Below are 23305 nucleotides of genomic sequence, written 5' to 3'. Positions count from 1 at the left end.
AACAATATTCAATTAAACTACTGATATGCAAAGGACTTAGTCTAAAATGAGAAGAGTTAAGAGAAGTATATTATCCCATAAGTTGGGGATTTATCTGTTTAGGGAACTGTCATAAAGAAATACCATGTATTGAGACTCCCATATCTAAAAAGTTCAAGAAGGAATATACTAAAATTATAAAATTATGAAAGCTCAATTTCATTGCCAGCCTGGGCAATGTAGTGAGACTTCATCTCTACTAAAAATCAAAATAATCAGCCAGCATGGTGGTGTGTGCTTGCAGTCCCAGCTATTCAGGAAGCTGAGGTGAGAAGATTGTGTAAGCCTGGGAGATGGAGGCTGTAGTGAGCTATGATCATGCCACTGCACTCCAGTCTGGACAACAGAGGGAGACCCGGTCTTAAAAAAACAAAACAAAACAAAAATCTGAGCATGGAAGTATTTCATATAGCATGTAATAAATTTATAGAATTTAATATATGAAGATGGTGGTAAAAATGCAGGGTTTTTTTTAACAAAGTATTATGGACAATATTTTGAATGTCAAAGACAGACATAACTATTAATAAAGTTGGAATACATCTAATCTTTAAAATGCACATCAGGCTGGCCAACATGACATTCCACAACCATGGAATCCTTGAACAGAATAGCGTATAAGTGTGACCATTAATTCTACATCCCAAAGATCAAGGCTGAAGACTTAAACATTTATCCAATAATTCAGTGTAAACCAACGCTCCCCTCCCCAGCCCTTGACTCAGGGTGTTGCACTGTCCATCAGGCTGGAGTGCAGCAGCATGATTATGGCTCACTGCAGCCTCAAACTCTTGGGTTCAAGTGATCCTCCCATCTCAGCCTCCCGAGTCACTGCCTGTTCTTTTTATATCCTAAAAGCAGAACTGTTGACCTTAATGAGTGATTACACCTTGGAAACTGCACTTGGCTTAACAGCCTGCTTCATTCACTTTGCTTGGGGTTGATTTTGCCTTACAGAAAACAATTAAAGTTTCCCTTCATTATTCTGAGATTTAAAAGAGAACCAAGCATTATATGAAAATACAGAAAGGCCTATACCTAGTAATAAATGAAAAACTGAACTCAAGATGACATATGCATACTGACACCAAGCACAATGGTATACTTCATATCAAATGACACAGTGACACAGGACAGTGGTTTGCAATAAATTTATTTAATCAGAACTTCAGAGGGTTCTAGAAACCTGCATTTTTAACAAGGACTGCAGATGATTCTAGGTTTTGATTAAAAGTGTGGTTTGGGGAAGCAACTTTACCCTTTATTGTGTGTTAAATTACATATACAATAAAACAAAAAGTCACGTAATGGAACAAAAAATTGCTTTATACAAAATATTAGTAGATACCCAAATATAATATGGTCTTAAAAATAAAATCATATGTATATAGTTGTATTCCTAAGTACAGTAGTGCCCCCCTCATCCAAAGTTTCCCTTTCTGTGGTTTTGGTTACCTGTAGTCAACCACATTCTAAAATAGGTGAGTACTGTACAAGAAGATATTTTGAAAGCAAGAGAGACCAACCACATTCACATAACTTTTATTATAGTATGTTATCATTGTTCTATTACATTATTATTAATCTCTTGCTATGCTTAATTTATACATTATACTTTATCATAGGTATATATATATGGAAAAAACAGTGTATAAAGGTTTGGTACTGTTTGAGGTTTCAGGAGTTCACTGGGGGCCTTGGAATGTATCTCCCGAAGATAAGGGGGAACTACTGTAAGCAAAATCGAAAGCTATACAACAATCAGAAATGGGAAGAGAGCAAATCCAAGTATAAGTGAAGACATTCCTCTGAATTCCCAGCATTCATCGAGCATCAAAAACGACCACTGTATTAATTTGAGTTAAGGACAAAAACGGTACTTAAACATTATTAAGACTGAAGGTTTCAAAGTCACTTTCTCTTTGCAATAAGCTGGTTTGTTATTTAACTTAAAATGCAAAAAAGAATGGAATTCACTATTTACTATGACAACTGGTTTTTAAATAAACTAAAAACACTTTCAATTTTTATTACCACCTTTTCCATAAAATGTATCAAAAAACACTAAAGCAGGCCAGGCGCAGTGGCTCACGCCTGTAATCCCAGTACTTTGGGAGGCTGAGGTGGGCGGATCACGAGGTCAGGAGATCGAGACCATCCTGGCTAACATGGTGAAACCCCATCTTTACTAAAAAATAAAAAAAATTAGCCGGGCATGGTGGCGGGTGCCTGTAGTCCCAGCTACTCAGGAGGCTGAGGCAGGAGAATGCCATGAACCCGGAAGGCAGAGCTTGCAATGTGAGCCGAGATTGCGTCACTGCACACCAGCCTGGGTGACAGAGCGAGACTCCGTCTCAAAAAAAAACAAAAAACAAACAAAAAAAAACACTAAAGTAATGTTAAAGCGGATAATCCGTCGATTTACAATGTGTGTTAGTTGTATCATAACAATTTACTCTGTATTTTATTTTTCCACATGGGGGTCACACTATGTTGCCCAGGCTGGTCTTGAACTCCTGCAGCCTCCCAAAGTGCTGGGATTATAGGTGTGAGCAACCATGCTGGGCCTACTCTCAGTATTTGAACAATTTGTATGCCCAACTTTTTCCATTAGGTAGTATACACAATATTTGTATTTCTCCTCGTGAACTTTAGCTTGTCCATAAACTGAAGCTCAAGAATGAATACTTATATAAATGTAGTCATGCACCCATAATGACGTTTTGGTCAAAGATGGAGCACATATAAACAGTGGTCGCATAAGATTATACTCTATTTTTGCTGTACCTTTTCTATGTTCAGATATACAAAAACATTGTGTTACAATTGTCTATTCAGTACAATAGCATGCTGTACAGGTGTGTAGCCTAGCAGCAATAAGCTATACCATATAGCCTAGATGTGTATGTATAGTAGGATATACGGTCTAGGTTTCTGTAGGAATGATGAAATTGCTTAAGGACACAATTCTCAGAATGTATCCCTATCCTCAAGCTTGACTGCACAGAATCCCTAAAAAATAAATTTATGAGAACCAAAATCAACTAGCATTATTTAGATTATTTAGAGCCTATGCATTGGTCCATGAAAATGCTAATCATGTTTGTTTTTTAAGTACTGTAATCCAGAAAGTTATCATTTTAACCAGAAATTAATCTTTATCAACCCCAGCATTATTCATTTCCTCCTAACTCATATTTAGAAAGCATCGTTAAAAGGATACATCTTTTAGTCCTTTTCTTGTACATTATTCTGTATCCACATTCTCTGCATCTGATTGGATCCCTAGATTTTATTTCATTTTCTGTGTGACACTCTAGAATTAAAAAAAAAAATTTACTCAATGCCTAAGAGGAAAATATTACAGACAAATTATCTTAAATGTATTATTTACCTAAGGCAATCCAAAACACTAAAATATACTCAATCTCAAGGGTCTGCTGCTTTTATTAAATATATTAAATAGGAAAGAAAAAGGTTGTAGGCCATGCATATTTCCAGGAGAGAGAATGAAATCTCAACGAGCTTTGTTTTTTTCTGTTAGTAAACAGAAGACCAAGGACGAACCCAGGTCTACTGACCTCAACGATTTTTTTTATGGTTGCTAAAGTGTTCTACTTTATAACTCTGAAGACCAGTAACTCATTTAAGCAAAGAATAAATGTAACAATTTCAAAAAAACTTAAATAAAATATTCTTACTTTAGGTAAGTGCTACTCTTACCTCCACAGATATATATCATTGGTTGCTGCTTTGGAGGTTGAACGTCCTTCTGGGTGTCCATTGTTAGCCCCTGAAATCACAGACTCAAATACTGAATATCTCAAAAGGGCTTCTCACAAGTCCATCCGGGCCCATTTTTCTCAGGAAAAGCTACAAAGATCCAATTCCTAATCTGTTCCTTTCCCCAAATCCTATGGGTTAGGTCTCAAGGACGAAACGCATACACACAAGTATTGAGCGTTTACCCCAAACTGGACATAATAACTACTTCATACGTGTTAGGCCATTATAATCTTCATAACAATCCTAGGAGACATCACTCTTGTTTTACAGAGGACGCAACCGATACTTAGACATGTTAATTTCCGCAGGATCACTCAGCTACTAAAAGTCAAAGGGATACAGATCTGACTGTAAAGCTCGCGTTCTCGTTTAACACAAGTTCTATTTTCCCAAACTCTAGCAGAAGTTAGCCAAAAAAAATTATATCCCTCAACAGGGGAACAGGCTCACCGAGGGAAGAACAATGAAATAACTCCTACTGGCTAAACATCTAAACTAAAAGAAAATAGGGAAAAGAGCGATAGCATGGACCGTATCCCCAGCCACTCTCAACTCTACCCCCATACCGGACCTTTTTACCCCAAGTGTCTTTCCAGTTTTGGCCCAAATATCCACCACAAACCCCAACCCGCCAATTCGCTTACCTACACAGCACGGAAAAACTCACTCCGCGTTTCCAAATACAACCCGGCTAGTCCAGGTGTCGAGACCAACTTCCGGCGCTGGTACATGACGCACAGTGCTGTCTCTCTTTCTCTCTCTCTTACTCCCCGCCCCTTCCGCCCCAGGCGTGGCCAGACAACCCGGATGGCGCAAAGGCGGTAAAGCAGGGGCTTTCTGTCTATTAGATTCTACGGGTTTAAGTGCCTGGTCCCCAGCTATTTTAATTTTGCAGGAAAGCAGAGCATTTTAACAGTTATGCAAGTACAAGGCGGTGTGTGTTTCTGACTAATGTAGTGGTACAAAGTAACACTTTTCCAGAAGGGTAGAGGGTTAGAAGAAAAACCGAGATGACAGTGTCCGAGAAGTACTAGGATAGCCGTTACTCGGACGAACATAGAAGAATCGACTACACCAATGATTTTCACGTAGAAAAACACTTTTCCAGATTGTTTTTAAAAATTGTTTGATATCTGTACTGGGGCAGTGGGGCAGCTGCCTCCTACCTTTCTCTTGATTTTGTTTTTGCTTTCTGGCCCCTTCTCTGATAGGCTACTGTCACATCCCTCGCCCAATCCGTTTACTTGTTTTAAAGCAAAGGTTAGTGTGACGGTAGCTACATGAACAACTCCCTCTTAAATCTAAGAGATTTTGGTAGCTTTCGCTGTCTACTCACCCGCCCTCCGTTCTATGTATTCCACCATAGAAGAACAAAACGCCCTGCTCAGTGGAGGTGCGTTCTTTCAAGTATCAGAATTTCAGTATGATGGATCAGTTGGGTTCAGAACGTTTACATTTGTTTCCTTTTTTTCCAGAAGATATTTTACTTAGTAGGGTGAAGAAAATGAAGCTATTTTAAAAAATTTAAAAATAACTTAATTGTTAATAACTATTTTAAAGTTAGTGAAAGAAGTAGGCGTTCTTTCTCCCAACACGCACTATGTCTGATATTTTATTAAGCAGGTTATACTCCTTTCGGGCCCTCCATCCAGAAATCTGAGAACTTTGAGCTTCACCTTTCACTTCCAGAAGTTCAAACTCCTTCTGTTGCATCTCCCCAGACCAGCTTGAGAGATTTAAGTTGATCTTTCCAGGAAGATGCCATTTAAAAACCCTTCAGGAAAACGCAGCAGTTCCTGGCTTCTTTCTTCACAGACAGGCTAACAGAGCATAAATATTTTAACCATTAGCCCTGTTACAAAGTACCTCTCCTCTTAACCAAAGAGGTGATCTAATACAAGAGGCACAATAGGCTTCCCTGTAAGAACTATTAGATGGAACCATTGTTATCCTAAGCGAAAGATGACAGAGTGATCCCAAAAGTCAAACTTTCATATTTACAAGCTCTCTTGTATATTAACTCTCCAGTTGAAATATCAAGATAATTCTCGTGCAGAACAATTTATGGAGATCAGAATGGATCAACATATGTAGAATACAAATGGGTCCTGGGGCCCTACAAAAGGGCAAAGTAATGACAAGTCATAGCAAGAAGATCCAGAATTTCAACAAGAATTCATGTTGGTGCTAGTTCCCAATCCAACACGCTCTTTCCTATCAACAGAGACTGGTAGTTCTAGGATCACTTGGGAGTTTGGTCAGTGTAAGCTACACTATTATCAATGATAGCATTAACTTTTTCTGAGCATGTACTACATGCCAGACATCATTGCATTGCTCTGTTTTAATGGGGGTAGTTGTCTTGCCATCCTGGAAAACAATGCTTTTAACTCTTTATTAAGAAGGTTATGGAGATGCAAGTTGCTATTTTTTCCCTGAATCTCTGTCTTTCCTTTTTCCTTGATTATATTCACTTAAATATATCCAGATAGCTTGAATATCATGGTAATTTGGGAAATCTCCCATTACGTTTTATTGGATGGTCCCAAAAAGAAGCATCAGATTTTGTGGCAAGCAGGTGGGTTTTAGAGTTCTGAAATTAGTGATGGGATGACACCCAATGCAAGAAAGGAAAGCAAAGGGCTGGGCACCGTGGCTCACGCCTGTAATCCCAGCATTTTGGGAGGCTGAGGCGGGCAGATTGCTTGAGGTCAGGAGTTCAAGACCATCCTGGCTAACATGATGAAACCCCGTCTCTACTAAAAATACAAAAAATTAGCCAGACATGGTGGCATGCACCTGTAATCTCAGCTACTTGGAAGGCTGAGGTGCAAGAATCGCTTGAACCCGGGAGGCGAAGGTTGCAGTGAGCTGAAATTGCCCCACTTCACTTCAGCTTGGGTGACAAAGTGAGACTCTGTCTCAAAAAAAAGGGAAGCAAAAAGGCAAAAGACTGTAAAGAATATGAAATTACAGCTCAGTGGCTTCAATCTGGAGTATGTAAGTAAAGCTCAGGCAAACTACATATAACTAGGTGTCTTTTTGCCCGTTTTTAGGTGGGGAGAGGTGACAATGATTCTTCCTTGAACAATATAAAGGAGATATGATATAGTCTTTCACTCCTCAGACATAATAAAATATCTCAAGAAAAATAAATTAACTGGAGAAAAAAGAAAAGGGCAATGTTTAAATGGTTTTGGGGTTATGTGGATTCTACTTAACCATTGGCAAAATTCCCTGCCCTGTTTACATTGGGATGGAGATGGGGAGCAGACATTAAACAAAAATGAGTAGATAATATGGGATTTTAGAAGGTAGTAAACTACACAGAGAAAATTCAGTAGAATTCTGCAGGAGAATTGCAAATGTGGGGCAGGAAAGGGTAAAATGGCTGTAATAGAGATTTGTTTGAAGAGCTAGAGAGGGTACTATTCACTCTACCAGGGAGTGTGGGGGTAGGCTTCAGAGAGGTGCTGTCTTGAAGAATGTGTAATTCATTAATTCTTTACAGTCCTACAGGTACCTCAAACTTAACAACCTCACACTAAATGCATCTTATTTTCTCCCAAGCCTATACTCTTCATTCCCTCACTCCTTGCCCCATGCAGTTGATTCTGCCAACTGAACATGTCACATCTTGGTTCTGCTCCACCCCCCACTGCCTTCTGGAGAAATGCAGTAGCTTCCTACTGGTCTCCTAGCAGCCACCCTTGCCTCTCTTCATTCTGTCCTCCATTCTGCCACCAGAGTGGACTTTCTAAAATGCTCTTCAAACTCTGAAGGTGCAACCAGAACTTCCCAAGACTTAGCTTCTTCACTTCTCAGGAATTTTCTCTAATCCTTTCCTCTAACAACTCTTAGTTTCTGCCTATAACAAATTATTTGCAGCTTCTCCATGTGCCCAACTGCTCTTGCACATTTTGTTTTGAGTTTGAAATTTTCCTGCCCTTATACATTTTAAGTTTGGAATTTCCTGCTGTCTGCCTTTTAAATTGCCACTTGTACATCAAAATCTATCTCATGCACTCTGTTCTCCAGTAGAGTTAGCTGGTTCTTCTTTCCTTTGTGCTGCTACTGTTCCTCTGTTACAGCACTTGCTCTATACCAATGAGCTCCTTAACAGCAGTAACTGTGGCTGTGTCAGCTCTGTATTCCCAGTACCTAGCACAGTAATTGGCACATAGTTGGAATTTAATAACTGTTAGTGGACGGGCACAGTGGCTCATGCCTGTAATCTCAGCACTTTGGGAGGCTGAGGCAGGTGGATCACCTGAGGTCAGGAGTTCGAGACCAGCCTGGCCAACCTGGCAAAACTCCGTCTCTACTGAAAATACAAAAATTAGCTAGGCGTGGTGGCGGGTGCCTGTCATCCCAGCTACTCGGGAGGCTGAGGCAGGAGAATCGTTTGAACCTGGGAGGTGGAGGTTGCAGTGAGCCAAGATTGCACCACGGCACTCCAGCGTGCGTGACAGAGCGAGACCCTGTCTCATAATAATTTTAGTGAGTTTGGTTTTGGATGACTGAGGGACATCCAGTTGGAGAAATGTCCAGTCAGAGAAGAGTGGTGGTAGTGCCTGTTATTGGCTTAAAAGTGATGGTTGAAGTTCTGAATAAGAATTACATAAGCATGGGATGATAAACTAATAAAAATGCTGAGGTAGGACCTCTCATTTAGGGAGTAGGCCAAGGAAAAGAAGCCAGAAAAAGGAGACTAGGAAGAAGCTGCCAAGAGCAGCAGGAGTGTCCCTGGCATATAATAGACGCCCAGTAAATATTTATTGAATGAAAAAATTAGGGTTTAAAAAATTTATTTGGCTTTGAGGGTACTTGGGAGTTCATGATGCCCAAAAATGGATGTTTGTAAACAATGAACACATTTCACTCTGGTTTTTATGAATAGATTTTTTAAAAATCTTTTTTTTGAGATGGGGGTCTCACTATGTTGCCCAGGCTGGTCTCAAATTCCTTGGCTCAAGTGATCCTCCCACCTCTGTGCTGGGATTACAGATGTGAGCCACCAGGCCCGGCTCAGCTTTTTTATCACAAAATCTGTATATATTCATTGTTGAAACATGAGAAGAAAACACAGATAAAAAGAACTAAAAAGCAAACATAATCCTGTACAAATTTACCGTATCCAAGTTATTCATACCTTTCAGACCTCATCCTGTGTATATCCATATTTTTAACCTAAAAGGGGTCAGTTTGTAACTTGCTTTTTGCACTTGACAGTTTGGAGAATCATTTCCAAGGGAACATTCTCATACATGATTTCTAATGGCATCCCACTGTAGGCCACGTTAGCATTCCTAAATACGGTAATGCTTCCCAAAGTGGGAATGGGGAGAAGCAGAGCCTTTCTGACCCGCCTCGGGACGGGTGCAGGGGTGAGCGAGAGAGGGGGCGCTCCTCCCGCTCAAGCGAGGACCCAGGCCTGCGGGCGGCCGGGCGGGAGCGCTGCAGAGCCGGAGGAAGGGGCGGGACAGCGCGGCGCGGGGCGGGGCTGCGCTTAGCGGTTACCCCGGGCGGGCCGTTCAAACCTAAGGAGGTAAAGGCAGCGGCCCCACGCGAAGCTGGCGTGGGGGTTGCCATAGCCCGCATCCCAGGGGGCGAGGCCGAGGCTTCTCCCCGGCCCATCCAGCGGCTGCTGCCCGGCTCCTCTCCCACCTGTCCGCTTCGGCGCCTCGCCCGGCCCCGCGGCCTCCAGGCAGGCGGCGGGACCCCAGGCGAGTGCCCGTTAGCGGGTCTCCCGGCGGCCCGGCCCCGCGTCGCCCTGTGTCTTCCAGGTGCTGGGCCTAGGGAGGCGCGCGGCAGCCCTCACTCCTCCGCTCCTGGTGACGCCAGCCCATCCCCTGCTGCCCTTGGCTTTCTGGGCCTAGCGGATCTTTGACGCCCTGGTGAGACCGTTACCCACCCGCCCGCCATAGCTCCTCGGGGGAGTCAGTGCCAGGCTGCAGCACACGCTGCCTTTTCAGGAACCCGAATTTGGGAAGTTTACTCATGTCTAAGTCCAGCTGGAGAAAACAAGGATATTAAGATAACTATTTTCTGGAGGGCTGAAGGAAATTCAAAATGATTTAGACCTTCTCAAGTGTTAGGAATAATCCCTGCGGCATGCACCCTGTGTACCCTTCGACTTTGAGCAATCATGATGCTGCTGCACCTTTCAATTAATTGTGCAAACTAAAGTTTTCCTCTTTAAGTGGCATTATTTTGGCATGAGTTTTAAAGACAAAGATGAGAGAATTTCTTGTTTGGAAGCCTACGTAACTTTGACATCTAAGAGCTCAAGATTTACTGATGGTAAGAGTTTCCACTTTAACAAATGAAGAACATTTGGGTTTAATGTAAGTACTTCATTCTCTGATGTGGTAGGTGCTTTTTCTTTTTTTTCTTTTTCTTTTTTCTTTCTTTTTTTTTTTTTGAGACGGAGTCGCTCTGTCGCCCAGGCTGGAGTGCAGTGGCGCGATCTCGGCTCACTGCAAGCTCCACCTCCCGGGTTCACGCCATTCTCCTGCCTCAGCCTCCCGAGTAGCTGGGACTACAGGCGCCCGCCACCACGCCCGGATAATTTTTTTGTATTTTTAGTGGAGACGGGGTTTCACCGTGTTAGCCAGGTTGGTCTCGCTCTCCTGACCTCGTGATCCGCCCGCCCCGGCCTCCCAAAGTGCTGGGATTACGGGCGTGAGCCACCGCGCCCGGCCGCTGCTTTTTTTTTTTTTTTTCTTAAAGAACACTTTAGGAATAAGTTTTCTCAGCCTTTTATCAGAAGCCTAGTTTTTAAAAATGAATATCGAAGAGGCTTGATTGATTTATCCGTGAACTGTTGAGTCCATAAAATACAACAGACAGTCCATGATTTTACATGAATAATTTTAAAATTCAGTTGCGAAGAACCACGTTTGAGACCAACGTCTTGGGGTAGTAGAAAGATGAAAATGCTAGCAGAGAAAGGACGTTGGAGGCAACTTCAAGTGTGTAGATGAACAGAAACAATTTTTTTTTTAAGAGATGGGGTCTCACTATGTTACCCAGGCTGGTCTTAAACTCCTGGACTCAAGCATTTCTCCCGCCGCGGCCTCCTAAAGTGCTGGGATTACAGGCGTGAGCCACCGGCCAGAATAGATTTTTGGATAACATTTTAGAGGAAAGAGATAATATCTGCATTCCCCACTTTGTTTTTAACAATTTGCCTCTGAGTTTCCCAAATTCTAGCATTGTGAGACACCTAGTGGTGAAGTAGCAGTACAATTGCCATAACCTTTTAAAAGGACCGTGACCTGCCGGGCGCGTTGGCTATTGCCTGTAATCCCAGCACTTTGGGAGGCCAAGGTTGGGTGGATCACCTGAGGTCAGGAGTTCGAGACCAGCCTGGCCAACATGGCGAAAGCCCGTCTCTACTAAAAATACACAAATTAGCCGGGCGTGGTCGTGGGCGCCTGTAATCCCAGTCAGTGGGGAAGCTGATACAGGAAAATTGGTTGAACCCGGGAGGCAGAGGCTGCAGTGAGCAGAAATCACGCCACTGCACTCCAGCCTGGGCGAAAAAGCGAGACTCCGTCTCATAAAAAATAAAAAAATTAAAAATTAAAAATAAAAGGGCTGTGACGCAAATTGAGTGAAAAGTGTTATTTAACAGAATTACCTTCAGAGAGGGAGAAAACAGTTCATGGGTGGAGATGTAATTTTAATATGCATTCTACTTATTTAATATTTGTAAAACAAAATTGTTTAAAAATATAACAAAATTATAAAAAGCAATTTGATAAATCTATTTGGTTTGTGACCATGTGCAGAAGTTAGCAGTGATCTGAGAGGATGTAGATCAGAAGGGGACATGTATGACATTTATCAAAAACGAGTATAGATTTAAAAGGTTAAAAAATACTTAGACTTTGTTTAGTAAAAATAATCTTTTAATGATCATCAAACCATAAAGAAATATTTTGTGTTTAGAGTAGCAATTTGCTTTTGTAACAAAGATCATTCACTCATATATCTGATTAAGTTTAAGCATAAATAAATTACTGTCGCATTACAGCCAATAAATAGATCTTCCCAGGATCTTTTAATGGAGAAAAATTGTGCATTTGTCCTGGAGAAAACTTTGAAGGAATGACAGTCTTCTTCATGTCCTTTGAATCATCTGGAAAAATATCAAAAACTATAATAAATTTTTTTCTTAACACTATTTTTGTCAAAACAAATTTGTTAGCTTTGAGTTAAGATTTATTTCAAGTTTCTAAAAAGAAGGAATGTGATGACACTGTTGAAAAGTTTAAGGAGTAAAATATTTCTTAGTGTCATTCCTTGCTCATGTAACTACTGAGTAACTGTTCTTTAAGTAATTGAGTTGCATTCTTTATTTGCAACTTCAAGAATATTTTAAATGGTGGTTTTCCCATAAATAGTTGCCTATTAACTGTGAATTCAAGGCTGAAACTGGACCTTGCATCACAAAATATTTAGAAAGTGAGATATGAATAAGTACAACATGCCAAGTTTGAAATGGCCCTATCTGTGGTGCAGTGGTTCATTATGGTTAGCTCAAGAAGAATGTGTTAGTAGTTCATTGATGAGCCAGTCTTTGCAAAGTCTTAAGTCTGGGAATTCACATCTCGTGAATGGTTATGGGGACTAGGTTTCTACAACAGGTCTATGTTACATGTTTGAACATTACTTGAGTTGTTCAGCCTGATTGCAGGTAGATCTAGAGGCAGCACTCATTATTTGACACATTCCCAAGGTGTTTAAAAAGTAGCATATAGCATTTTTTGAGTAGACTAATATAGGCTGGCACAAATAAGCTGGAATATTAAAATCAAAATTGTTTAGTTCTGTGAAAATCATAAGGTAATAAAATAATCTAAAAATAATGCTTCTAGGTTTTTTTCTCTTTAGGGTAGCTCAATAAAATATGTGTGCATGATGCTTAGCCTATGATTAATCAAGTGATCTTTGAATATTTATAACCTGAACATTTTGGCTTTGTGATGTCAAGAACTCGTTTTAAGTAGGATACACATCAGTTTCTTATGGGGTAGAATTGTTTTTTTAAAGTAACTTTTCAAAAATTGTCATACAATTTTCCATTATTATCTGTACTCATAACAAATAATGTATTTTGGTATAAGCTGCCTGGATACTCATTTCAAAGGCAGAATAACTTTGTTGTCACTTTGCAGAAACAGAGATTTTGAAGATGTCGCAAAGGCACTCAGGTCAAGCTGGCACTGAAGCAGGAAATGGGGCGGACTCTCCTCCAATTGTCAACTCCAAGTACTCCACCTTCAGAGATTTTTGTTCCACATCTTCATTTCAAGATAGTGGCTACAATGAGTTAAAATCTTGTAGCTTTGATAATATAGATAAAGAATATCTTGGAAAGAAAGAAAAAGGCCCAACATTACTCTATGAGCACCCTGAAACTTCAGGCCTGGGCTTAACACATCCTTTAGAATCTCCCACTCAAAAAAAGAAATGTATCTTGCCTAGAAAGGAAAAGGATAAAACCCCAGAACTTTGTGAAACACCTAAAATCAGTGGGAAAAAATGTTTACCTCGCAGAAGGTTGAATGTATCTTTCGCTCTTCTAAAAGGGGACTTTGAATCACAAAATAGTTCTTTAGAAAGTAGTATAAGCCAAGTTATCAACTTAGAAAAAAATATTCCAAGCAGTGCTTCAGGTTTTTCCAGGGCAAATAATTTTAGCCCTTTAGTTACTAGCACTTTAAAAACAGAAGAAGTGACTTCATGCAGTCAAAAATTGAGGCTTAATTTTTCTCAGCAAAAGACTTCCACAATTGATGATTCCAAAGATGATTGTAGCCTATTTGAAGTTGAATGTATATCTCCAATTCAGGGCAATAATTTTAAAGACTCTATCACACATGACTTTAGTGATAGCAGTTTATGCATTAATGATGAGAATGCATGTCCAGAGCTCCTGGGCTCCTCTGTTAGTGGAACAACTTGTGGAACAGATGAGGACATATTTGTGACTCCGATAAGTAATCTTGTGGCAAACATTAGATTTAACGCAAGTCAAATACTTTCTCCTTCACCTGAAGTGAGAGGCAGTATTTCAACGCCTGAAGACAGTGGTTTTAACTCACTTAGCTTGGAGAAATCAGAAGATTCCCTGTCTGACCAGGAGGGTTCTTTTCAAGAACTACTGCAGAAACATAAGGGGACTCCCAAAGTTGGGGACACCATAAGAAAGACAAGACATCTTGGAAGGTCGAGAAGACTGTCCACCCTTCGGGAACAAAGCTCGCAGTCAGAGACAGAAGAGGAAAAGCAGATTGTCCACCCTGACTCTGAAAAAAGAGCAGCAGCTGCTTCTGCCATCTCAGAGGGTCAGCTGAGTAGTGATGAGAGTGGGGATTTGACCTTTAGCTTAAAGAATTTATCAAAGACCCCAGCCTTGCAATTGGTACATGAGCTGTTCATGAAAAGCAAGAGGAAAAGATTACAGGAAAATAGTGGACATGAATTCTTAGAGCAAGGGGATGGGGAGAAAATAGCTGTACTGCAGTGTATACTTGCAGGACTGATCGGCAAGAAAATGGGTATAGAAAAACTGGACATCTTAACAGAATTAAAATATAGAAATTTAAAGCATATTCTTGCTATGGTTTTAGAGTCCTTGACCGCAGAGAGCCTATGCAGGTAAGAAGTAAGAGTTGTTTATGAAATAAAACTTCTTTTTTTAAGTTGAAAAGTTTTTCTGTGACTTGAGTGGTTGTCCTTTATTTTGTTTTATTATCTCTGTCTTTTGTTGTCTTATATCAAAGATAGTTTAAGTGAACGTCCCAACAGAGCTACCTAGTACAGATCCTTCCGTTTTTTTGTTTTGTTTTGTTTTGTTTTGTTTTTTTCTTTGAGCAAGAGTCTCGCTCTGTCGCCCAGGCTGGAGTGCAGTGGCGTGATCTCGGCTCACTGCAAGCTCCGCCTCCCGGGTTCACGCCATTCTCCTGCCTCAGCCTCCCAAGTAGCTGGGACTACAGGCGCCCACCACCATGCCCGGCTAATTTTTTGTAGTTTTAGTAGAGACGGGGTTTCACCGTGTTAGCCAGGATGGTCTTGATCTCCTGACCTCAAGATCCACCCATCTCGGCCTCCCAAAGTGCTGGGATTAGAGGCGTGAGCCACAGCACCTGCTGATCCTTCTGTTTAAAAGCCTGCTTAAGTAGCAATAATATAGTCTTTTTTTTCTGAATAAAGTTCTTGTCACTGTTATTTGGAAAGAGAGTTGCTAAAAGTTGAATTTTAAATTTTCAAGATGGCAAGCTCTATTCCATGGAAGTTGTTTAATGATTTAATAGTTCAGATCATATTGTCAGATTGCAAGCAGTATTAAAGTTATGACACTTGGTCAGAAATAATGTAATGCATTGTGGTGACCGAGAAATGACAGTGTACAAATAATACCACTTAATTATTTAAGTTCTAGAATTTAAAAACAATCGTTAGCTTTCATTTTAGGGTTTGATCTTTCCAGAACCAGGGGAATGTGGATTATTTCATTTTTATTGTTAACACAGCAGTGAAAGTTAATTACTTTGGGGAATTTCAAGAAATTAGAAACTGAAGAATTTGTGTTCACAGATGTTGCAGTAGATTGAATGCTGCTACATAATAAGGAGAAACAAATTTCAGAATATTGAGGGTGGGAACTAAGGTTACAAAGACTAAAATGAGACTCTGTTCATGCCAATTTGGGGGAGTTACAGGACTATCAGAAGACAAGACCCATGGGAATGCCGTGGCAATGAAGGAGAGAAGTCATGTGGAACAGGATTTCTGCAAGATGATGGTTATGGAGGAGCATGCGGGAAGTTAGTGAGCCTCTTTCTTGATAGGTATATGTCAAAAGAGTTTTTTACAGGGTCCTTGGTTTTTTTGTTTTGTTTTTAGTTTTTGTAGAGATGGGGTCTCACTGTGTTGCTCAGGCTGGTCTGCAACTCCTGGGCTCAAGTGATCCTCCCACCTCGGCCTCCCAAAGTGCTGGGATTACAGGTGTGAGCCACTGCCTGTTCTGTTCTTGTTGTTTTTATGGCCACTACTTCTATCGAAGCCCTTCTTTATCTTTCCTCCATACATTAATTGTATGTCTATTATAGAGAACTGTAGGATTTCTTAGCTGGAAGTCTTCTAAGGTATCTAGTTCACATGTTTTGCAGATGAGGAAATGAGCCCCAGAGAAGTGACCTGCTAACAGCCACTCAAGGCGACAGGAATAGATCTAGGTCTATAATGAGCCCTCTGATTTCTAATCCAGTATTTTTCCATAAACTCTTATTAAGGTTTAAGGCTTTCTGGAATAGATTTGATCAAGAATGTATTTGGTGTATCTTAAGTAGGATAATAAACAGATTAGTGCACCCATATTGTGTGCCTTTTAAAAATGTTCAAACGATAAACTGTTTAAAAAATTAAGGAGATGGCTGAGATATAGGATTTTAAAAATATTTTTGGTATGGATGGGGTCTTACTACATTGCCCAGGCTGGTCTCAAACTCCTAGGCTCTAGCAATCCTCCTGCCTTGGCCTCCCAAAGTGCTGGGGTCACAGGTGTGAGCCGCTGTGACCAGCCAGGAATGCTATTTTTATATGCTGGAGTATTTGGGCCAGTTAAAATTAAAATTGGGTGACACTTTTGGGTGCTTGCTTATGTGAGCAGTTGATTTTCAGTCATATTTCAACAATTATCTCTCCTTCCCATCTCTCCAAACATACAGTATTTGTACTGCAAAGTATGTAACTATGTTGGCAGTACTGTTCCTGGTAACTTGAGAGTTGATCAGTTGCAATGTCTGTGGCAAATACCCAATTATGTAGTTCATTTCTTCCCCATCATTGGGTGACTTCTGCCTGTTCCTTTCCTTCCCTCTGATATAGGGCACATATATCAGCCTAGAGAGAGTCAATGACAATTGAAGTGGGCATGGTAGCTGGAAGAATAGTAGCGTTGACAACTGGGACCCTCCGTAAGAAGTGACTTATTTCAATCTTTTCTGACCTTACTCCTTTTGATTTGTTAGAATAACAAAGAAAGACCAGATTAATAGTCAAAGTCTTACTTTTTAATAATAATATTATCAAAGTTATTGATAAATCAGCAATCACTGGACAAAAATTGTGTTTTTTCTTTAGCTGCTTCATATTCATAAACTTTGGTTAATGAAATAGGAACTCTGTGGTGCGACCCATAATAGTATTTATAGTTGGCACTTAGTAATGCCAATGAAGGATTAATTGTGCTTGTGTTTATGTAATCAAAATGACAGAGATTTGTTAAACACAGGAATAGGAGAAATTGATGAAACCTCTTGTGTTATAGATGACAATCATTTCCTGCATCTCTTGTTCCAAATTTTTAATGTTACATTTGAAGTTAAATCCTCTTAATCAGTCTCCCAGTGGACTCATACTGGCTTTATATGACCATTTATAAAAGAGTAATCTATCTGTATATTGCTGGCATATACAATTGGAATTCTTTTATATGATGAATTAATATGAAATAACAATGTTGACCAAGTCACATTTTTATGTAAATTTTTAGGTTTAAATTTACTGCCCGAAATCTTTAAAACAAATTTTTCTCATTAGTTAGCGTATACAACAAAATGTTAATCCTATAGAATGTATGCAATATAAGGATGGATCTTTTTGTTATAGTGTTTGGAAAGTAAGCAGAAATTGGCGTGAAATTGTTGTTCAAGATAAAAATGCAAATCGGAGGAGGAAATTTTATATCACACAACTGAAAACAGATTCTGAGGTAATGTATGTAATACTTCTCTAAAATGGATTTGTATAAATACATAATAATCTCATGTTGCTAGACAACCTAATTTGGTTTTCCTGCTATCTTTAACCTTTTCCATTTAACAAACATTCACTCATAAATTCCTTAGTTTTCCCAAACTCAATTTTCACCCAGTCTGTAAATGGAATAAACAACATAGCATCAAGAACATCTTGTTGGCCAGGCGCGGTGGCTCACGCCTGTAATCCCAGCACTTTAGGAGGCCGAGGCGGGCGGATCACGAGGTCAGGAGATTGAGACCATCCTGGCGAACACGGTGAAACCCTGTCTCTACTAAAAAAATACAAAAAATTAGCCGGGCGTGGTGGCAGGCGCCTGTAGTCCCAGCTACTCGGGAGGCTGAGGCAGGAGAATGGCGTGAACCCAGAAGGCGGAGCTTGCAGTGTGAGCCGAAATCGCGCCACTGCACTCCAGCCTGGGCGACAGAGCGAGACTCTCTCTCAAAACAAAACAAAAAAAAAAGAACATCTTGTTGGGCTTTGTTGCTGCTTACGTGGGTGTGCTCTTAACAGCATTTGAATACCAATGATATGCTGGATCCTAATTATAATGAGATACCCTTATAGCATTTCTAACCGAGTCTTTTGAGTGGACATTACATGTTAGTTAACTGTGCCAGTGCTCAGATTACAATGGTGAACATTTCTGACATGGTTCCTGCTCTTTTGGAGCACACACCTTGAGGGTGATATAGGTAAATAGGTGACTACAATCCAGGTGTGTTAGAGGAAGCCCAGAGTTATTTAAAGGAGTTTTTGACTGATACTTGGGAATCAAGAGAAGTGCATCTCTACTGAGACCTGAATGATGAGTTAGCAGTTAGCCAGGTGAACACAGAGAAGAGGGTTTTAGCAGAGAAAGTAGCATATGTACAAGCCTGAAGGTGAGTGAGCAAAGCACATCAGTACCTGTGAAGCATCATAAACTTGCACTCCCTTGAGGATTTGAATTCTGGCTTTAAAGTTACAAGAAAAGTCCTATAGAAGCTGATGGATTCCTCTCAGGCATGCTATTTTGTGTAATAGGCATCTGATGACTAGCACCCATGTTTGATTATAGATTCAACTTTAGGCCAAAAAAGATTCTGAGAGTTCACTAATTCATTCTTGTTCTAGCGAAAAATATTTAATAACATACTATAAGTAAATTTCTAATTTGACTAAATATAATAATTGGAATAAAGCATGGCATAAACAAATATGAACACCCAGATATAGATTGACAGGTTTCTCATTACAGTGAACTATTAGGGACTGCTATTAACTAAAACTTTGACTTTCTTTTTTATTTTGAAGAAAAGCTTTACCTTTTCACCTGTTCAGAGCTCATGGCTGCTTCTGCAGCTGCTGGCTCTGGGAGTTTGTAATAAGGAAGATATTAATTGCCTTCTTAACATCTGTTTTTCAAATGCTGCCCTATATGCTAGGGACAGACTTAAAAAACAGTTGTTTAAGCATGCACTTATTAATATTTAAACATTTGGCTCCATATACTCCTTAACTCCTCTAAGGAAGAAGCATATTGTTGTGCTGGCAACCCTCCATGTAACTCCAAATAATGAAATGTTCTATTCTCAAAAAAAAAAAAAAGAAAAGAAATAGTCTCATATTTGGCCAGGCACAGTGGCTCATGCCTGTAATCCCAGCACTTTGGGAAGCAGAGGTTAGTGGATCACTTGACATCAGGAGTTCAAGATCAGCCTGACCAACATGGTGGAACCCCTGTCTCTACTAAAAATACAAAAAGTAGCTGGGTGTGGTGGTGCAGGCTTGTAATCCCAGCTATTTGGGAGGCTGAGGTGGGAGGATCACTTGAACCTGGGAGGTGGAGGTTGCAGTGAGCTGAGATCATGCCACTGCACTCCAGCCTGGATGACAGAGTTAAACTTTGTCTCAAAAAAAAAAAATTATATCCTTATATTCTAGCAATCACTTTTTTAAAAACTCAGTTTCTTAAAGAACTGTACTTTTCCCCCCTTTCTTATGCTCTTTTTCTTATTTTGACTTGCTTTTTAAAATCTTTTTCAAAGTAATACATGGTTTAAAAAGTCAAACTGGACTATCCTAACAAAATATACCATTATGCCTTCATACTCTTGATTCTTGATCCATCAAGACAATCATTTTCAACACTTTCTTCTAGTGTTTAGCTCCATATTTCGAAATAATTTTATTTCCCTGTCATTTCTTTACTATTTTCTATAGAAGGATTAGGTTCTCTAACCTCTCACTACTACTGCCACTACCTACATAACCCCTCTCTCTCTGAATTCCTTTCTCTCTTCTCCTATCTTATGACTATAATTACACCACCATTTGGGAATGAATCAGAATTAGGTGCTGACATTATAAAGATTGTGTTGAGATTATTATAACTTTTTTCACAGCTATAGTATGTTGTACACTATGATTACACTTCCGTTCTAGTGTAACTTTTTCCCTCCAGTTAATAATTGCATAGTTTTTTCTCTCTCTTTTATTTATTTATTTTTGCTTAGTGTTTCTCTATACAGATCCCTGATTCATCTCCCATTATCCACCAGAACTGAAAGTCTCCTCTGTGTAAGTCCAAACAAATCAGGTATTCTACCTGTTCCTTCTTTTCCTCAGAGACATCCTTCCTGGGGCCCTTTGCTGTCCTATTCCAACATAGACTGGTTGCTTTCTACTTGAACTATTCTAATGTATTATTAACCAAAACAAAAAAAATTATAAAAGAAAGTTATTTGATGGTTTTCTCCACTCTTTTGTTTACTTCTTGTCTACAGCTGCTTTTTCTACAACCGCAGAGTTGAGTAGCTGGAACTACATGGCCCACAAAGTCTAGATTATATATTATATTATCTGGTCCTTTTGCAGGAAAGGTTTGCTGAACCAAGTTTAAAATAAATGGAAAAATAACCAGCCATACAAACTTAGATGAAGAATTTAATTTAAATTTTTTTCTTTTTATATTTATTTAACTTTTATATGTTAGGTGAGAAAAGGTTGGTTTTTTGTTTTGTTTGTTTTTTTTTCTGAAAAGGAACAGCCTAGGGAGAGAATTCGGATGGCAAAAAACCTCTTCAAAGCATATAAATCCGTGTGCATCAGAAAGCTATCCCGGAACTGTTTTGGTATTGCAGTATTGATGCCTCTTGTCCTTTACCACAGGGGGCTGTATTAAATGTCGAGGATGCTGCCACTCGGCTCCAGCTTTTAAATCGCTCAGCTTTAAGATCTGTGCAGGCACAGGCTAGGATACCTGGTTCTCAGAGAGAGCAAGGGTCAACATTATCTCCCTGGGGAGAAGTTTTGACACCTCTAGCAAGCTCTTCTGTTACTCACTTAAGTAGTAAACAGGAAGAATATGTTAAGGTAAGTATTTATTATGTCATAAGTTATTAGAAATAAATATTTACAGAGTTTGAAATAAAGTGCTCCTCTATATGAAACCAGAAGATTTAGTGTGTGTGCTTTCACTGCAGGTTGCCAAAACACTTTTTACTGATGAAGCATTAAAACCTTGCCCAAGGTGCCAGTCCCCTGCTAAGTACCAGCCATATAAGAAAAGGGGACTGTGTAGCCGAACAGCCTGTGGTTTTGACTTTTGTGTGTTATGTCTGTGTGCTTATCATGGGTCTGAAGAATGTAGTAGAGGAGCAGCAAAGCCAAGAAATAGAAAAGATGCTCTCCCAGGAAGTGCCCAGAGTAAGCGGAATTTAAAACGCCTCTGAAGAGACTAAATATAGAACTCCCCCATGCAGTGTTCTATTTATCTGACTTAAAATTATGAATATTTTGAATACATGCAAATCTTCCCATTAATGACAGGTGATGATTAATTTCCTATTTTGTATATATTATAATCGATGTCATTGTATGTTTTCTTTAAAGTTGTTTTGAAAAAATTTTATTTTACTATGTCATTTTACCCATTTTAATAACTTGGTATTTTAAATAAAGAATTTTCATTGTTGTTATATGTATGTACTTTATTGTTTTATGTAACATTTTAAATTTGTGCATTTCATCACTCTTGACATGTTCTTCAATCATTTTTTAAAAAATAGTTTTTCAGATAATATTAAAGATTTTGAACTCTAGACAGATGGCCTTATAGATTTGGAAAATGAGTACTTGACTGAAATGAAATATAAATAAAATATTTTCAGAAGTTCTATTGAATTTATTCTATAATTTCAGTCTCTGGTTAAGTAAAATTTACTGAATATTAATAACTAGGAAGACATAAAGAGTAAATTATTGGAAGTATATAGTTATTCATAATGGGAGTCTTAGCTAATATACCCTTGTAAGTAACACATTTCAAATAAGTACTTTAAAAAATTCTAGAACTACAGGCACAGATTTCATTTATTTAATCTGGAAATTCTGACAAATTTGGGCTGCTTGGAAAAGACAGATTTAAGTAAGAAGATTTACTAAGTTATTTATAAAGTACTTAAACGATTTATAAATCATTTCCAAAAATGATTTGAGTTTGCATGATCCATTCATAGAACAGCAAGAAAGAGATAAGTTTTTTTTTGTTTGTTTGTTTGAGGCATGGTCTAGCTCTGTCTCCTCAGGCTGAAGTGCAGTGGCATGATCTCACAGGATCTTGGCTCACTGCACACTCTGCCTCCCAGGTTCAAGCGATTCTCCTGCCTCAGCCTCCAGAGTAGCTGGGATTATAGGCATGCACCACCATGCCTGTCTAATTTTTGTGTTTTTAGTAGACATGGGATTTCATCATGTTGACCAGGCTGGTCTCGAACTCCTGACCTCAAGTGATCCAGCCGCCTGGGCCTCCCAAAGTGCTGGGATTACAGGCATGAGCTACCGCGCCAGGCTAAGAGATAAGTTCTACTGTTGAACAAATTACTAATACCAGGAGAAAATTTGAAGATAGTTTCATAATTTTTTTGTTTGTATATGGGTAACTGATATATATACATATCTGTGTTCACAATCTATGCATAGATTTAAATGTAGCTCTTATATGTTATTTTAACAAAGCAATTTAAAGTATGAGTTAGATATAGACATACGTGATGGAAATCTGCCTGAAATTTTAACTTGTTACTTAACTTGCTATAAAATTTTGATTAGCTGCTAAATATTAAATTTTCATCTATATCCTTTCTAATTCCACAAAGGGTTTTTGGAGACTAAATTATATTTATGTAAATTACATTTACTCATAAATTTTCTGAGACATCTTTCACATCAGGATCAATTTACTAGTTAATATTCTTCACTTAGTCTTAACTTTTTTTCTCTATAAGAGAAGTTTATTTGTGTTTAGGAAATTTATTCCAGTCTTGATTCTCTTAATTTATGAAGTTAATTCTTTGATTAATTTAATTATTTAATTTATTTAAGCCCTCTCTTCCTTTTTTTTTTTTTTGAGACGGAGCCTCACTCTGTCACCCAGGCTGGAGTGCAGTGGTGTGATCTCGGCTCACTGCAACTTCCATCTCCTGGGTTCAAGCAATTCTTCTGCCTCAGCCTCCTGAGTAGCTGGGATTACAGGTGCCTGCCACCACACCTGGCTAATTTTTGTATTTTTAGTAGAGATGGGGTTTCACCATGTATGGCAGTCTGGTCACAAACTCCTGACCTCAAGTGATCTGCCCGCATTGACCTCCCAAAGTGCTTG

General features: G+C 39.3%; 2 protein-coding genes across 9 annotated transcripts, besides 5 other annotated features; one reads left to right on the top strand and one right to left on the bottom strand.

Moving 5' to 3' along the window:
* POLR2K (RNA polymerase II, I and III subunit K) lies at positions 1176 to 4543 on the bottom strand. Its single transcript, NM_005034.4, has 4 exons — positions 4470 to 4543; positions 3763 to 3832; positions 3263 to 3355; positions 1176 to 1885 (listed from the first exon to the last, which is right to left on the bottom strand). The coding sequence occupies exons 2-4, from the start codon at positions 3821 to 3823 to the stop codon at positions 1863 to 1865; spliced, it is 177 nt and encodes a 58-aa protein (NP_005025.1). The 5' UTR covers positions 3824 to 3832; positions 4470 to 4543; the 3' UTR covers positions 1176 to 1862.
* Positions 4205 to 4708: an enhancer, noted in NCBI's record as "H3K27ac hESC enhancer chr8:101162699-101163202 (GRCh37/hg19 assembly coordinates)". NCBI's record gives its function as "activates a minimal SCP1, AML or CMV promoter by ChIP-STARR-seq in naive H9 embryonic stem cells {active_cell/tissue: H9 hESC(naive)}" and the evidence as "EXISTENCE:reporter gene assay evidence [ECO:0000049][PMID:30033119]".
* Positions 4422 to 4511: an enhancer, noted in NCBI's record as "active region_27685". NCBI's record gives its function as "activates an Ori minimal core promoter by ATAC-STARR-seq in GM12878 lymphoblastoid cells {active_cell/tissue: GM12878}" and the evidence as "EXISTENCE:reporter gene assay evidence [ECO:0000049][PMID:35858748]".
* Positions 4610 to 21828, top strand: FBXO43 (F-box protein 43). Of its 8 annotated transcripts, none has more exons than XM_011516990.2 (6): positions 4610 to 4646; positions 13011 to 14496; positions 15561 to 15689; positions 17512 to 17614; positions 20815 to 21018; positions 21129 to 21828. In XM_011516990.2, exons 2-6 carry the CDS (start codon positions 13028 to 13030, stop codon positions 21375 to 21377), a joined length of 2154 nt encoding a protein of 717 aa, XP_011515292.1. In that variant the 5' UTR covers positions 4610 to 4646; positions 13011 to 13027; the 3' UTR covers positions 21378 to 21828. The 8 variants fall into 8 exon arrangements, 7 of the variants coding, with proteins under 7 accessions (XP_011515292.1, XP_011515289.1, XP_016868847.1 ...); XM_011516987.4 differs by lacking the exon at positions 4610 to 4646 and adding an exon at positions 9362 to 10128; XM_017013358.3 differs by lacking the exons at positions 4610 to 4646; positions 21129 to 21828 and adding exons at positions 9362 to 10128; positions 20175 to 20223 and having other exon boundaries at positions 20815 to 20895.
* Positions 5022 to 5161: a silencer, noted in NCBI's record as "silent region_19408". NCBI's record gives its function as "represses an Ori minimal core promoter by ATAC-STARR-seq in GM12878 lymphoblastoid cells {active_cell/tissue: GM12878}" and the evidence as "EXISTENCE:reporter gene assay evidence [ECO:0000049][PMID:35858748]".
* Positions 9179 to 9638: a silencer, noted in NCBI's record as "silent region_19407". NCBI's record gives its function as "represses an Ori minimal core promoter by ATAC-STARR-seq in GM12878 lymphoblastoid cells {active_cell/tissue: GM12878}" and the evidence as "EXISTENCE:reporter gene assay evidence [ECO:0000049][PMID:35858748]".
* Positions 10750 to 10899: an enhancer, noted in NCBI's record as "active region_27684". NCBI's record gives its function as "activates an Ori minimal core promoter by ATAC-STARR-seq in GM12878 lymphoblastoid cells {active_cell/tissue: GM12878}" and the evidence as "EXISTENCE:reporter gene assay evidence [ECO:0000049][PMID:35858748]".
* Positions 21829 to 23305: the final 1477 nt, after the last annotated feature.

The sequence above is a fragment of the Homo sapiens genome, chromosome 8, assembly GCF_000001405.40.
Source record: "Homo sapiens chromosome 8, GRCh38.p14 Primary Assembly".
In the NCBI taxonomy this organism is placed as follows: Eukaryota; Metazoa; Chordata; class Mammalia; order Primates; family Hominidae; genus Homo; species Homo sapiens.
This window is presented reverse-complemented; position numbering and strand designations above follow the sequence as displayed.

Excerpts from the sequence above, each read along its gene's own strand:
- POLR2K (NM_005034.4), bottom strand. The coding sequence starts at position 3,823 with ATGGACACCCAGAAGGACGTTCAACCTCCAAAGCAGCAACCAATGATA. Across the intron at positions 3,356-3,762 it reads AATGATATATATCTGTGGAG|AGTGTCACACAGAAAATGAA; the intron begins GTAAGAGTAGCA and ends TTTTAATTCTAG. Across the intron at positions 1,886-3,262 it reads CAAGAAAAGGACTAAAAGAT|TGGTCGTTTTTGATGCTCGA; the intron begins GTATCCTTTTAA and ends AAATTAATACAG.
- FBXO43 (XM_011516987.4), top strand. The coding sequence starts at position 10,044 with ATGAGTTTTAAAGACAAAGATGAGAGAATTTCTTGTTTGGAAGCCTAC. Across the intron at positions 15,690-17,511 it reads GTGAGCCTCTTTCTTGATAG|TGTTTGGAAAGTAAGCAGAA; the intron begins GTATATGTCAAA and ends TTTTTGTTATAG. Across the intron at positions 17,615-20,814 it reads AACTGAAAACAGATTCTGAG|GGGGCTGTATTAAATGTCGA; the intron begins GTAATGTATGTA and ends CCTTTACCACAG.